General features: G+C 37.3%; 1 non-coding gene across 1 annotated transcript; it reads right to left on the bottom strand.

The window, feature by feature from the left end:
* Positions 1 to 2,959: 2,959 nt before the first annotated feature.
* On the bottom strand, positions 2,960 to 3,041 carry MIR3672 (microRNA 3672). Its single transcript, NR_037444.1, has one exon. It is a non-coding gene; the product is annotated as a microRNA 3672 (primary transcript).
* Positions 3,042 to 15,980: the final 12,939 nt, after the last annotated feature.

The following is a 15,980-nucleotide window of genomic DNA, read 5'->3' as shown; positions in this document are numbered from 1 at the left end:
CAAAGCCCTCACAGTGTAGCATGGACAGACACATCCTCCACATGGAAGAATGACAGTGGATAAGCATTCACCTTATCTATAGACCCCAGCACCAGGCAAGCACCCATGGACCTAGGCTCTAGGGCCACCCCAATGCCAAGCTAGTTACCACAGCCACAGGCTCCGGGCCCATCTCTGTGGAACAAGGCTTCAGGCCCACCCAGTGTTGAGCCAGCCCAGACAGCATCAGGCTCCCAGCAGGCCCTCATGGACACAGACTGGCACCTGTGAACCCAGGCCCTAGGCCAACCTCAACACAAGGCAAGTTCCTGTGGCCCAAGGCTCTAGGCCAGCATCTGTGGACCCAGACTTCAGGCCAGCCCCTATGACCCAGGTCCAAACCAGACCCCACAGTCTCAGACTCCAGACATACTCTGGTGTCAGACTGGCTCCTGTGGACCCAAAACATAAGCACACCCCCACACAAAGCTGACCCTCCCCAACTCAGGCTCAAGTTCTACCTCCCTGCAAGGTTGAACCCCATGTACCCAGAGCCAGGCTCAACCCTATGAACCAGGACACCAGGCCTACCTGTACAGGCTTGAGCTCAAGGCCTGGCCCTGCAGATCCGTACACAAGGCCAGCTATAGTGAACCTAGGCACCAGGCCCTAAAACAAGGCCAGCCTGCCCAAGAACTCCAGACCCAAGTCCGAACACGGATTCCATCTGCTGACCCAACAAGACCCTCTAGCCAAGCTGACTGGTAAAGTCAGCTTCCCTGCCAAACCCAGTCTGTAAAGACTGAAAGAGGTGCCTACTTTTTCAAATGTGCAGATACCAACACAAAACTACAAGGATCATGAATAATCAAAGAAATATGACACCACCCAAGGAACAGAATAAAGTACCAGTAGCTGACCTTAAAAATAGAGATCTATGAAACGCCTGATAATTTTAAATAATGATCTTTAAAAGTTCAGGGAGGCCAGGCACGATGGCTCACGCCTGTAAACCCAACACTTTGAGAGGTCAATGCAGGAAGATTGCCTCAGCCCAGGAGTCCAAGGCCAGCCTGGGCAACGTGGTGAGACTGTCTCTACAAAATATTTAAAACTTAGGTGGCTCATGCCTGTAATACCAGCAATTTGGGAGGCCGAGGTGGGCAGATCACTTGAGGCCAGGAGTTTGAGACCAGCCTGGCCAACATGGTGAAATGCTGTCTCTACTAAAAACACAAAAATTAGCTGGTCGTGGAGGTGGGCGCCTGTAATCCCAGCTACTCGGGAGGCTGAGGCAGGAAAATTGCTTGAATCTGGGAGGCAGAGGTTGCAGTGAGTTAAGATCACACCACTGCACTCCAGCCTGGGGGACAGAGCAAGCCTCCATCTCAAAAAAATATAAATATATCCAGGCATTGTGGTACATGCCTATAGTCCCAGCTTCTTGTCCCAGCTACTTGGAAGGCTGAGGCAGGAGGATCACTTGAGCTCCAGAGGTTGAGGCTGAAGTGAGCTGTGTTCATGCCACTGCGCTCAAGCCTGGGTAACAGAATGAGACCCTGTCTCAAAAAAACAAAAAACAAAAACAAACAAAAACTACGAAGTACAAGATAGACAAACAACCAAACAAAATCAGGAAAACATTATATGAGCAGAACAACAAGTTCGACAAAGAGAAAAAAAAAAAAAAACATTAAAAAATAACCAAGCAGAAATCCTGGAGCTAAAGAACGCAACGATTCAATGACTGAACTGATATATTCCACAGATGTCTTCCTCAGCAGACTCAAACAAAAAAAGAATCAGTGAGTTCAAAGACAGCTTATTCAAAATTACTCAGTCAAAACAACAAAAGGAAATAAGAATAAAAAATTATGAAGAAAGTATACAGAATTTATGAGACACAATCAGATGGACCAATATACACATTATTTGAGGCCCAACAGAATAGAGACAAGAGGGGCAGAAAATTTCTTTAAGTAAATAATGACAGAAAAATTCTCATATCTGAAGGAAGTGAACATCTAGATCCACGAAGGTAAAGAGCCCCAAATATATTAAACATAAAGACACCTCTTCAAGATACATAATAAGCACATTCTCAAAATTCAAAGACAAAGAGAGAATTTTGAGAGCAGCAAAAGAAAACAGGCTTGTCACATACAAACCAACTTCCACTGGAGTATCAGAGGATTTTGCAGCAGAAGTCCTGCAGGCTAAAAGAGTAGGATGACATATACAAAGTGATAAAATAATAAAACTGCTAATCAGTAGTTCTTTATCTGGCAAAGTTGCCCTTCAGATATGCAGTAGAGATAAAGACTGTCCCAGACAAAGAAAAGCTAGGGGGATTAAACACCCCTAGACCTGCCTTACAAGAAATGCTAAAGAAAGGCCTGCAAGTTGAAAAGAAAGGACACTAACAACAAAAAGAGAGAAAAGTAGAAAACTCCCAAAAAACAAACATAGTCAAATTAAGAATACTCTAATGTGGCCAGGCGCAGTGGCTCACGCCTGTAAACCCAGCACTTTGGGAGGCCAAGGCAGGCAGATCACGAGATCAGGAGTTCGAGACCAGCCTGGCCAACATAGTGAAACCCCATCTCTATTAAAAACACAAAAATTAGCCAGGCATGGTGGTCCACACCTGTAGTCCCCGCTACTCGGGAGGCTGAGGTAGGAGAATCGCTTGAAACCAGGAGGCAGAGGTTGCAGTGAGCCAAGACAGCGCCACTGCACTCCAGCCTGACTCCGTTAAAAAAAAAAAAAAAAACTCTTACGTTATGATGTGGTACATAAATCATGTTTGACTCTAGCACAAAAGTCAAAAGAAAAAGGTATGAAAATAACTATAATAACTTTTTAGTATACACAATATAAATGATATGAAGTGTGGCATCAATAACATAAAATGGGGGGAAGAAAAAGTTGAAGTGTAAGGTTGTTTTAACATGTTCAAAGTTATCAGCTTTAATAGTAATCTTTGTGATTATCATGAGACTCATAAAACATCTTGTAATAGTCTAAGATGTTTTACATGAGTCTCATGGTAATCACAAAGAAAAAAATGTGTAGTAAATACACAAAAGATAAAAAAAGAAATCAATGCATACCATTACAGAAATAAATCACAAAGGTACACAGAAATAGAGGAAGAAAGACATAGAGGAATGACAAAATGTCAGAAAGCAATTAACAAAATGGCAATAATAAACACTTAACCTATTAATAAGTTATTTAAATATAAATGAATTAAATTTACCAATAAAAAAACAGAGTGACTAAATCGATTTTAAAATTAGAATCCAACTATATGCTAAGTAAGAAGACTCACTTTACTTTTAAGAACACAGAGAGGATGAAAGTGAAGAAATGGAAAAAGATATTCCATGCAAATAGTAACTAAAAGAGAGCTTAGTTGGCTACATTTATTTTACTTACATCAGAAAAAAACCAGACTTTAAGTCAAAAACTGTCACAATAGACAAAGAAAGTCATTATATCATGATAAAGGGGTAAATTCATCAACAAGATGTAACAAATGTAAATACATCTATGTATGCAATATTGGAGCACCTAAATATAATATATAAGGTATTTATTAACAGAACTGAAGGGAGAAATAGACAGCAATAAAATAACAGTCCACTTCAATACCCGATGTTCAACAATGGACAGATTATCCAAAGAGAAAATGAGTAAGAAAACAAGTGGCTTGAACAACACTATAGACCAAATGGACCTAACAGACATATACAGAACATTCTATTCAACAGCATCAGAACATGTAGTCTTTTTAAGCGTATAAAGAAAATATTCCATGACAGAGAATATGTAAGGCCAAAAAACAAGTCTAACAAATTTGAGATGATTGAAAATATATCATATATATATTTCACTTCAATTTATTTATTGTGCTAATAATTTTTAATTTTTAAAATAAATTATTGTGGGTACATAGTAGGTATATATATTTGTGAGGTACACAAGATGTTCTGATATAGGCATGCAATGCGTACCAATCACATCATGGAGAATAAGGAATCCATCCCCTCAAGCACTTATCCTTTGTTTTACAATCCAATTGCACCTTTTTGTTATTTTTAAATGTATAATTAAGTTATTATTGAGTATAGTAACCCTGTTGTACTGTCAAATGTAGATCTTATGTTCTTTCTATGTTTTTGTACCCATTCTTTCTATGTTTTTGTACCCATTAACCATCCCCACATTCCCTTCCTGGTCCTCTGCTACTACCCTTCCCAGCTTCTGGCAACCATCCTTCTACTCTCTATGTCCATGAGTTCAATTGTTTTGATTTTTAGACCCCACAAATAAATTAGAACATGTGATGTTTGTCTCTCTGTGCCTGGCTCATTTCACTTAACATAAAGATCTCCAGTTCCATCCATTTTGATCTTTTTAATGACTAAATAATACTCCATTGTGTACAGGTACAACATTTTCTTTATCCATTAATCTGTTGATGGACGCTTAAGTTGCTTCCAAATCTTGGCTATTGGGAACAGTGTTTCAACAAACATGGGAGTGCAGATACTTATTTCCTTTCTTTGGGTATATGCTCCACAGTGGGATTGTTGGATCCTCCAAAATGTTCTCTATAGTAGTTGTACTATTTTACATTCTCACCAACAGAGTGGGAGTCTTCCCTTTTCTCCACATCCTCGCCAGCATTTGTTAGTGGCTGACTTTTGGATATAAGCCATTTTAATTGAGGTGAGATGATATCATATGGGAGTTTCAATGTGCATTTCTCTGATAATCAATGATGTTGAGCACATTTTCATATGCCTGTTTGCATTTGTATGTCTCCTTTTGAGAAATGTCTATTAAAATTTTCTTGCACATTTTTGATCAAATTAATATCCTTTTTTTCTACAGAATTTGAGTTTCTTATATATTCTGGTTACCAACACCTTGTCAGATAGGTAGTTTGCAAATATTTTCTCCTATTCCATGGGTTGTGTCATCATTTTGTTGTTTCCTTAGCTGTGAAGAGGCTTTTAACTTAATATAATCCCATTTGTCCATTTTTGCTTTGGTTGCCTATGCTTGTGGGGTATTGCTTAAGGAGTTATTTTTCCCCAGACCAGTGCTCTGGAGAGTTTCCCCCAAGTTTTCTTGTAGCAGTTTCATAGTGTGGGGTCTTAGATTTAAGTCTTTAATCCATTTTGATTTGGTTTTTGTATATGGCAAGAAATGGGAGTCTAGTTTCGTTCTTCTGCATATGGATATCCAGTTTTCCCAGCACCATTTATTGAAAAGACTGTCTTTTCCCCAGTATAAGTTCTTGGCACCTCTGTCAAAAATGAGTTCACTGGAGGTGTGTGGATTTGTTTCTGGGTTCTCTGTTCTGTTCCATTAATGTATGTGTCTGTTTTTATGCCAGTACCATAGTGTTTTGGTTACTATAGCTCTGCAGTATAATTTGAAGCCAGGTAATATGATTCCTTTAGTTTTGTTCATTTTGCTTAGAATAGCTTTGGTTATTCTGGGACTTTTGTGGTTCCATATAAATATTAGGATTTTTTTTTCTATTTCTGTAAATAACGTCATTGGTATTTGGACAGGAATTGCATTGAATGCATATACGCAACTTTTAAAAACATTGATTCTACCAATACGAGAACATAAAATATCTTATTTTTGTGTGTCCTCTTCAATTTCTTTTATTTGTGTTTTACAGTTTTCATTATATAGATATTTCACTTCTTTGGTTATGTTAATTCCTAAATATTTAATCTTATGTGTGGTTGTGAATAAGATTATTTTTATCATTTCCTTTTCAGATTGTTCAGTGTTGGCATATAGAAATGTTACTGATTTTTGTATGTTGATTTTGTATTCTGTAACTTTACTGAATTTATCAATTCTAATAGTTTTTTGTGGAGGTTTAGGTTTCTGCAAGTATAAGATCATATCATCTAAAACAAAGATAATCTGAATTCTTCCTTTCTAATTTGGATGCCCTTTTCCCCCCTCATTTTTGATTACTCTATTTAGGACTACCAGTACTATGTTGAATAACAGTGGTGAAAGTCAGTATCCTTGTTGTGTTTCGAATCTTAAAAGAATTTGCTTTTTCCCATTTTGTGTGATACTAGTTGTGGATCTGTCATATATGGCTTTAATTATGTCATGATATGTTACTTCTATACCCAGTCACTTGAGGGTTTTTATCATGAAGGAATGTTGAATTTTATTACATGCTTTTTCAGCATCAATTGAATTATCATGTGGTTTTTGTCCTTCCTTCTGTTGTTATGACGTATCACTTTAATTGATTTGTGAATGTTGAATCATACTTGCATCACAGGGATAAATACCACTTGGTCATGATGAATGGTCTTTTTAATGTATTGGTAAATTTGGTTTGCTAGTGTTTTGTTGAGGATTTTTGCATCAATGTTCATCATTGATACTGGCCTGTATTTTTAAAATTTTTTTAAATTTTAAGTTCAGGGCTACATGTGCAGGTTTGTTGTGTAGGTAATCTTGTGTCATGAGTGTTTATTGTACAGATTATTTTGTCACACATGTATTGAGTCTAGTACCCATTAGTTATTTTTCCTGATCCTTTCCCTCCTCCCACCCTCCACCCTCTGATAGGCCCCAGTGTGTGTTGTTCCCTTACATGTGTCAATATGTTCTCATCATTTAGCTCCTCTTATAAGTGAGAACATGCAGTATTTGATTTTAGAGTCCTATGTTAGTTTGCTAAGAATGATGGCCTCCAGATCCACCCATGTCCCTGCAATGGACATGACCATTTTGTTTTTTATGGCTGCATAGTGTTCCACGGTATATATTTACCACTTTTTAAAAATCCAACCTACCGTTCATGGACATTTAGGGTGATTCCATATCTTTGCTACCATGAATAGTGCTGCAAAGAACATAAGCATACATGTGTCTTTTTAATAGAACAATTTATATTCCTTTGAATATGTATCCACTAATGGGATTGATGGGTCAAGTGGCATTTTTGTTTTTAGGTCCTTGTGAAATTTCCACACTGTCTTCCACAATGGTTGAATGAATTTACAGTCCCAGAAAGAGTGTATAAGCATTCCTTTTTCTCTGCAATTTCACCAGCATCTGTTATTTTTTAACTTTTAGTAACAGTGATTCTGGATAAGAATTAATCATCCAAGTATATACCGTCTTCAAGAGACTCACCTAACACATAAGGACTCACATAAGCTTAAGGTAAAGGGGTGGAAAAAGATATTCCTTGCAAATGGACACCAAAAGTGAACTGAGGTAACTATTCTTATATCAGACAAAACAGACTTTAAAGCAAAAACAGTTTAAAAAGACAAAGCGGAACATTATATAATGATAAAAGTACTAGTCCAGTAGGAAAATATCAAAATCCTAAATATATATGCACCTGACACTGGAGCTCCCAAATTTATAAAACAATTACTACTAGACCTAAGAAATGAGATAGATGGCAAAACAGTAATAGTGAGGGAATTCAATACTCCACCAACAGCACTATACAGGTCATCAAGACAGAGAGTCAACAAAAAAAATGGACTTAAGCTATAACCTGGAACAAATGGACCTAACAGATATTTACAGAACATCCCACCCAACAACAGAAGAATATACATTGTATTCAATAACACATGGAACATTCTCCAAAACAGACCATTAAAGGTGACAAAACAAGTCTCAATAAGTTTAAGAAAATCAAAATTATATCAAGTATTCTCTCAGACCACAGTGGAATAAAATTAGATATCAACTCCAAAAGAAACCATGTAAATACATGGAAATTAAATAATCTGTTCCAGAATGATCATTGGGTCAACAGTGAAATCAAGATGGAAATTTAAAAATTCTTTGGACTGAACAATAATAGTGACACAACTTATCAAAACCTCTGTACCGAGACCAGGTCGGTCATGGAGACCCCAACCCAGTGGCGCTAGAGGAATTGAAGACAAAGACACAGAAATAGAGTGCAAAGTGGGAATCAGGGGACTGATAGCCTTCAGAGCTGAGAGCCACGAACACAATTTGACCCACGTATTTACTGAGAGTAAACCGTGATATGCATTGCTTCTAGAGATTATAGATTAACTAAAAGCATTCCTTACAGGAAACAAAGCATTCTTAGCGAGGAGTAGAGAAAAAGGCTCTGGCTGATTATCTGCAGCAAAGACATGTTGTTAAGGCACAGGCCGTTCATGCTATTGTTTGTGGTTTGAGCAGTTTTCCGCTCCGGGCGGGCCAGGTGTTCCTTGCCCTACTCTAGTAAACCAACAACTTCTAGCAGTGTGCGTGACAGCCATCACGAGCATGTCACATTGCTGCAGAAATCCTGTTTACAGCCAGTTTCTTTAAGGCCTGTTTATGACAGGCTTAGGGCTTGTTCCCAGCACCTCTGGGATAAAGCAAAAGCAATTCTAAGAGGAAAGTTGACAGCCTTAGATGCCTCCATCGAAAAGTCTGAAAGAGCACAAATAGACAATCTAAGGTCACACCTCAAGGAACTAGAGAAACAGGAACAATCCAAACCCAAACCCAGGAAAAGAAAAGAAATAACGAAGAGCAGAGCAGAACTAAATGAAATTGAAACAAAAAAAAATACAAAAGATAAATGAAACAAAAAGCTGGTTCTTTGAAACAATAAACAAAATGGATAGACCATTAGTGAGATTAACCATGAAAAGAAGAGAGAAGATCCAAAAAAGCTCAATTAGTATAGAAACTGGATATATTATAACTGATACCACAGAAATACAAAAGATCATTCAAGGCTACTATGAACACCATTATGCATACAAACTAGAAAACCTACAGAAAATGAATAAATTCGTGGAAATACGCAACCCTCCTAGATTAAACCAGGAAGAACTAGAAACCCCAAAAAGACCAATAACAAGCAGTGAGATCAAAATGGAAATTTTAAAAAACTGCCAAGAAAATAAAGTCCAGGACCAGATGCATTCACAGCTGAATTCTATCAGACATTCAAAGAAGAATTGGTAAAAATCCTAATGAAACTATGCCAAAAGGTAGAGAAAAAGGGAATCCTCCCTAAATCATTCTATGAAGCCAGTATTACCCCAAAACCCCAAACCAGAATAAGACATAACAACAACAACAAAAAAAAAACTACAGACCAATATCTTGGATGAACATAAATGCAAAAATCCTCTACTAAATACTTGCTAACCGAATCCAACAGCATATCAAAAAGACAATCCACCATGATCAACTGGGTTTCATACCAGTGATTCAGGGATGGTTTAACATAAACAAGTCAATAAATGTGATACACCACATAAACAGAATTAAAAACAAAAATCATATGGTCATCTCAAAAGACACAGAAAAAGCATTTGACAAAATCTAGCATCGCTTTATGATTAAAGCCCTCAGCAAAATACCTTAAGGTAATAAAAGCCATCTATGACAAACCCACAGACAACATTATACTGAACAGGAAAAAGCTGAAAGCATTCCCCCTGAGAACTGGAACAAGACTAGGGTGCCCAGTTTCACCACTTCTATTCAACATAGTACTGAAGTCCTAATCAGAGAAGTCAGACAAGAGAAAAAAAAATAAAGGGCATCCAAATTGAAAAGGAGAAAGTCAAACTGTCCCTGTTCACCAATGATATGATCGTATACCTAGAAAACCCTAAAGACTCATCTAAAAATCTTCTAGATCTGATAAATGAATTCAGTAAAGTTTTAGAATACAAAATCAACGTACACAAATCAGTAGCACTGCTATACACTAACAGTGACCAAGCTGAAAATCAAATCAAAACTCAACGTCTCTCACAATACTGCAAAAAATAAAAAATAAAAAAACTTAGGAATACACCTAACCAAAAAGATCTCTACCAAAAAAACTACAAAACACTGCTGAAAGAAATCATAGATGACACAAACAAATGGGAACACATCCCATGTTCACGGATGGGTAGAATCAATGTTGTGAAAATGACCATACTGCCAAAAGCAAACTACAAATTCAATGCAATTCCCATCAAAATACTATCATCATTCTTCACAGAACTAGAAAAAACAATCCTAAAATGCAGAAGGAAGGTAAAAAGACTCCACGTAGACAAAGCAGGACTATCTGTAGGCATCACATTACCTGATTTTAAAGTATACTATAAGGATATAATTACTATAACAGCATGGTACTGGTATGAAAATGAATAGTTCCATTCATCCAATGGAACAGAATAGAGAACACAGAAATAAAGCCAAAAACTTACAGCCAACTCATCTTTGGCAAAGCAAACAAAAACATAATGTGGGGAAAGCGCACCCTACTCAAAAAATGGTGCTGGGACAATTAGCAAGCTACATGTAGGAGAATGAAAGTGGATCCTCATCTCTCACCTTATACAAAAATCAACACAAGACGGATCAAAGACTTAACTCTAAGACCTGAAACCATAAAAATTCTAGAAGATAATCTCAGAAAAACTCTTCTAGACATTGGATTAGGCAGAGAGTTCATGACAATGAACCCAAAAGCAAATGCAACAAAAACAAAGATAAATAGATGGGACTTCTTCAAGGAGAACTACAAACCACTGCTCAATGAAATAAAAGAGGATACAAACAAATGGAAGAACATTCCATGCTCATGGGTAGGAAGAATCAATATTGTGAAAATGGCCATACTGCCCAAGGTAATTTATAGATTCAATGCCATCCCCATCAAGCTACCAATGACTTTCTTCACAGAATTGGAAAAAACTACTTTAAAGCTCATATGGAACCAAAAAAGAGCCCGCATCGCCAAGTCAATCCTAAGCCAAAAGAACAAAGCTGGAGGCATCACGCTACCTGACTTCAGACTATACTACAAGGCTACAGTAACCAAAACAGCGTGGTACTGGTAGCAAAACAGAGATATAGATCAATGGAACAGAACAGAGCCCTCAGAAATAACGCCACATATCTACAACTATCTGATCTTTGACAAACCTGAGAAAAACAAGCAATGGGGAAAGGATTCCCTATTTAATAAACGGTGCTGGGAAAACTGGCTAGCCATATGTAGAAAGCTGAAACTGGACCCCTTCCTTACACCTTATACAAAAATTAATTCAAGATGGATTAAAGACTTAAACGTTAGACCTAAAACCATAAAAACCCTAGAAGAAAACCTAGGCATTACCATTCAGGACACAGGCATGGGCAAGTACTTCATGTCTAAAACACCAAAAGCAATGGCAACAAAAGCCAAAATTGACAAATGGGATCTAATTCAACTAAAGAGCTTCTGCACAGCAAAAGAAACTACCATCAGAGTGAACAGGCAACCTACAAAATGGGAGAAAATTTTCACAACCTACTCATCTGACAAAGGGCTAATATCCAGAATCTACAATGAACTCAAACAAATTTACAAGAAAAAAACAAACAACCCCATCAAAAAGTCGGCAAAGGACATGAACAGACACTTCTCAAAAGAAGACATTTATGCAGCCAAAAAACACATGAAAAAATGCTCACCATCACTGGCCATCAGAAAAATGCAAATCAAAACCACAATGAGATACCATCTCACACCAGTTAGAATGGCGATCATTACAAAGTCAGGAAACAACAGGTGCTGGAGAGGATGTGGAGAAATAGGAACACTTTTACACTGGGGTGGGACTGTAAACTAGTTCAACCATCGTGGAAGTCAGTGTGGCGATTCCTCAGGGATCTAGAACTACAAATACCATTTGACCCAGCCATCCCATTACTGGGTATATACCCAAAGGACTATAAATCATGCTGCTATAAAGACACATGCACACGTATGTTTATTGTGGCACTATTCACAATAGCAAAGACTTGGAACCAACCCAAATGTCCAACAATGATAGACTGGATTAAGAAAATGTGGCACATACACACCATGGAATACTATGCAGCCATAAAAAATGATGAGCTCATGTCCTTTGTAGGGACATGGAGGAAACTGGAAGTCATCATTCTCAGTAAACTATCACAAGGACAAAAAACCAAACGCCGTATATTCTCACTCATAGGTGGGATTTGAACAATGAGAACACATGGACACAGGAAGGGGAACATTACACTCTGGGGACTGTTGTGGGGTGGGGGGAGTGGGGAGGGATAGCTTTAGGAGATATACCTAATGCTAAATGACAAGTTAATGGGTGCAGCACACCAGCATGGCACATGTATACATATGTAACTAACCTGCACATTGTGCACATGTACCCTAAAACTTAAAGTATAATAATAATAAAATAAAAAAATAAAAAATAAAAAAAATAGATGGGACTTAACTAAAAAGCTTCTGCAGAGCAAAAGAAATAATCAACAGAGTAAACTGACAACCCACAGAGTGGAAGAAAATCTTCGCAATCTATATATATCTGACAAAGGACTAATATCCAGAATCTACAAGGATCTCAAACAAATCAGCAAGAAAAAAAATAATAATCCCACCAAAAAGTGTGCTAAGGACATGAATAGACAATTCTCAAAATATATATATAAGTGGCCAACACACATATGAAAAAATGCACAGCATCACTAATTATTAGGGAAATGCAAATCAAAACCACAATGTGATACAAGCTTACTCTTGCAAGAATGGCCACAATTAAAAAATCAAAAATAATAGATATTGGTGTGGATGTGGTTAAAAGGGAATACTTTTACACTGCTTATGGTAATGTAAACTAGTACAACTGCTATGGAAAACAGTATGGAGACTCCTTAAAGTATTAAAAGTAGATCTACCATTTGATCCAGCAATCCTACTGCTGGGTATCCACCCAGAGGAAAAGAAGTCATTATATGAAAAAGATTCTTGCACACACATACATTTACGGCAGCACAATTCGCAATTCCAAAAATATAGAACCAGCCAAAATGCCCACTGATCAACAAGTAAATAAAGAAAATGTGGTGTGTATATATACACCATAGAATACTACTCAGACATTAAAAGGAACAAAGTAATAGCACTTTCAGTAACCTGGATGGAATTGGAGACCATTATTGTAACTGAAGTAACTCAGGAATGGAAAATCAAACATGGTATGTTACTTATAAATGGGAGGTAAGCTATGAGGACACAAAGGCATAAGAATGATACAATAAACTTTGGGGACTCAGCCGGGAAGGGTGGGAGGAAGGTGAAGCATAAAAGACTACCCATTGAGTACAGTGTACACTGTTCAGGTGGTGGGTGCATCAAAATCTCAGAAATTACCACTAAAGAACTTATCCCTGTAACCAAACACTACCATTTCCCCAAGAACTATTGAAATAACAATAAAAAAAAGTAATAGCCATTCTGACGGGTGTGACATGGTATCTCACTGTGGTTTTGATTTGCATTTCTCTAATAACCTGTGATGTGGAACTTTTTTTCATATTATCATTGGCTGCATGTATGTCTTATTTTGAAAAGTATTTGTTCATGTCATTTGCCCACTTTTTAATGGTTTAATAAATTTAAGTTCTTTATAGGTGCTAGATATTAGACTTTTGTCAGATATCTATTTTGCATAGTTTGCAAAAATTTTCTACCATTCTATAGGTTGTATGCTCTTTCTGTTGATAGTTCCTTTTTCTGTGCAGAAGGTCCTTAGTTTAATAAGATCCCATTTGTCCATTTTTGCTTTTGTCGCAATTGCTCTTGATGTCTTTGTCATGAAATATTTGCCCATATCTATATGCACAATGATATTGCATAGATTGTATTCCAGGGCTTTTATAGCTTTGATTTTACATTTAAGTCTTTAATCTATCTTGAGTTAATTGTTGTGTAATATGGTGTAAGTAAGGGGTCAAGTTTAAATCTTCTGCATATGGCTAGCCAGTTATCCCAGCACCATTTATTAAATAAGGATTACTTTCCCCACTGCTTGTTTTTGTTAGGTTTGTCAAAGATCAGATTGTTGTAGGTATGGTCTTATTTCTGAGCTCTCTATTCTGTGCCATTGATCTATGTGTCTGTTCTTGTACTAGTACCATGCTGATTTGGTTACTGTATGCCTATAGTATAATTTGAAGTCAAGTAGCATGTCTTCAGCTTTGTTCTTTTTGCTTAGGATTGCTTTGGCTATTTGCACTACTTTTTGGTTCCATATGAATTTTGAAATAGTTTTTTCTCGATCTGTAAAGAATGTCAATGATAGTTTAATAGGAATAGCATTGATTCTATAAATTATTTTGGCACTATGGCCATTTTAACAATATCGATTCTTCCCATCTATTAGCATGGAATGTTTTTCCATTTGTTTGTGTCATCTCTGACTTCTTTGAGCACTGTTTTGTAGCTCACCTTGTAGAGGGCTTTCATTTATATGGTTGTCTGTATTCCTAGGTATTTTTTAATAGCAATTGTGAATGGGAATGCATTCCTAATTTGACTCTCAGCTTGACTGTAGTTGTTTTATAGGAATGCTAGCACATTTTGCACATTGATTTTGTATTCTAAGACCTTGCTAAAATTTTTCAATTTTCTTATTTTCTTCACTGACTGACTGGTCATTCAGATCACAATGTTTAATTCCCATACATTTGTGTTTTGTTTTGTTTTTGAGGTAGAGTCTGACACTGTTACCCAGGCAGGAGTGCAGTGACATGATCTCAGCTCACTGCAACCTCCATCTCCCAGGTTCAAGCGATTATCCTGCCTCAGCCTCCTGAGTAGCTGGAACTACAGGCATGAGCCACCACACCTGGCTAATTTTTGTATTTTTAGTAGAGATGGGGTTTCACCATGTTGGCCAGGTTAGTCTCGAACTCCTGACCTCAAGTGATCCATCTGCCTCGGCCTCCCAAAGTGCTGGGATTACGAGCGTGAGCCACTGTGCCTGGCCGAATTCCCATATATTTGTATAGTTTCCAGAATTCCTCTAATTATTGATTTCTAGTTTTATTCCATCATTGTCAGAGAAGATATATAGAGAGATATATAGATATAGATATAGATATGTAAAAGATCTAGACATTGAAATCTGTTAACATTAATGAAATAAATTGAGCACACAAATAAATAAAAAAAAAGATATCCCTTGTTCATGGTTGGGAAGAATTAATATTGTTAAAATGTCCATACTACCCAAAGCAATCTACACATTCAGTGAAATGTCTATCAATATTCCAGTGGTATTCTTCCCAGAGATAGAGAAAGCAATCCTAAAATTCATTTGGAATCGGCTGGGAGTGGTGGCTCATGCCTGTAATCCCAGCACTTTGGGAGGCCGAGGCGGGTGGATCACGAGGTCAGGAGTTCACGACCAGCCTGGCCAACATGGTGAAACCCTATCTGCACCAAAGATACAAAAAATTAGCCAGGTGTGGTGGCACATGCCTGTAATCCCAGCTATTTGGGAGGCTGAGGCAGGAGAATCGCTTGAACCTGGGAGGCGGAGGTTGCAGTGAGCCGAGACCACACCAGCCTGGGTGAAAAAAAAAATTCATTTGGAACCATACAAAAGACCCTGATTACTTAAAGCAATCTCATGCAAGAGAAATTAAGCTGGAGTAAACAGTTTCTGATTTCAAATGGTATTACAAAGTAATAGTAATCAAACAACATGGCAGTGACATAAAACCAAGTACACAGACCAATGGAATAGAATATAGAGCTCAGAAATAAACCTATGCATATGCAGCCAACTATTCTTCCACCAAGTCACCACATATGGGGAAAGGATAGTCTCTTCAATAAATGGTGCTAGGAAAATGGGATACCACATGCAAAAGAATGGAATTGGACCTTACCTTAAACTATACATAAAAATAAACTCAAAATCAATTCAAGACTTAAACATAAAACCTGAAACTGTAAAAATCCTACAAGAAAACATGGAGCAGGGAAAGCTTCTTGACATTGGTCTTCACAATGATGTTTTTGGTTAGGACACCAAAAGTATAGGTAACAAAAACAAAAATAAACAAGTGGGACCACATCAAACTAAAAAGTTTCTGCACATCATGAAAATAATCAA

The sequence above is a fragment of the Homo sapiens genome, chromosome X, assembly GCF_000001405.40.
Source record: "Homo sapiens chromosome X, GRCh38.p14 Primary Assembly".
Taxonomy (NCBI): Eukaryota; Metazoa; Chordata; class Mammalia; order Primates; family Hominidae; genus Homo; species Homo sapiens.
Note: the sequence above shows the minus strand (reverse complement) of the source record. Positions and strands in the feature narration are given on the sequence as shown.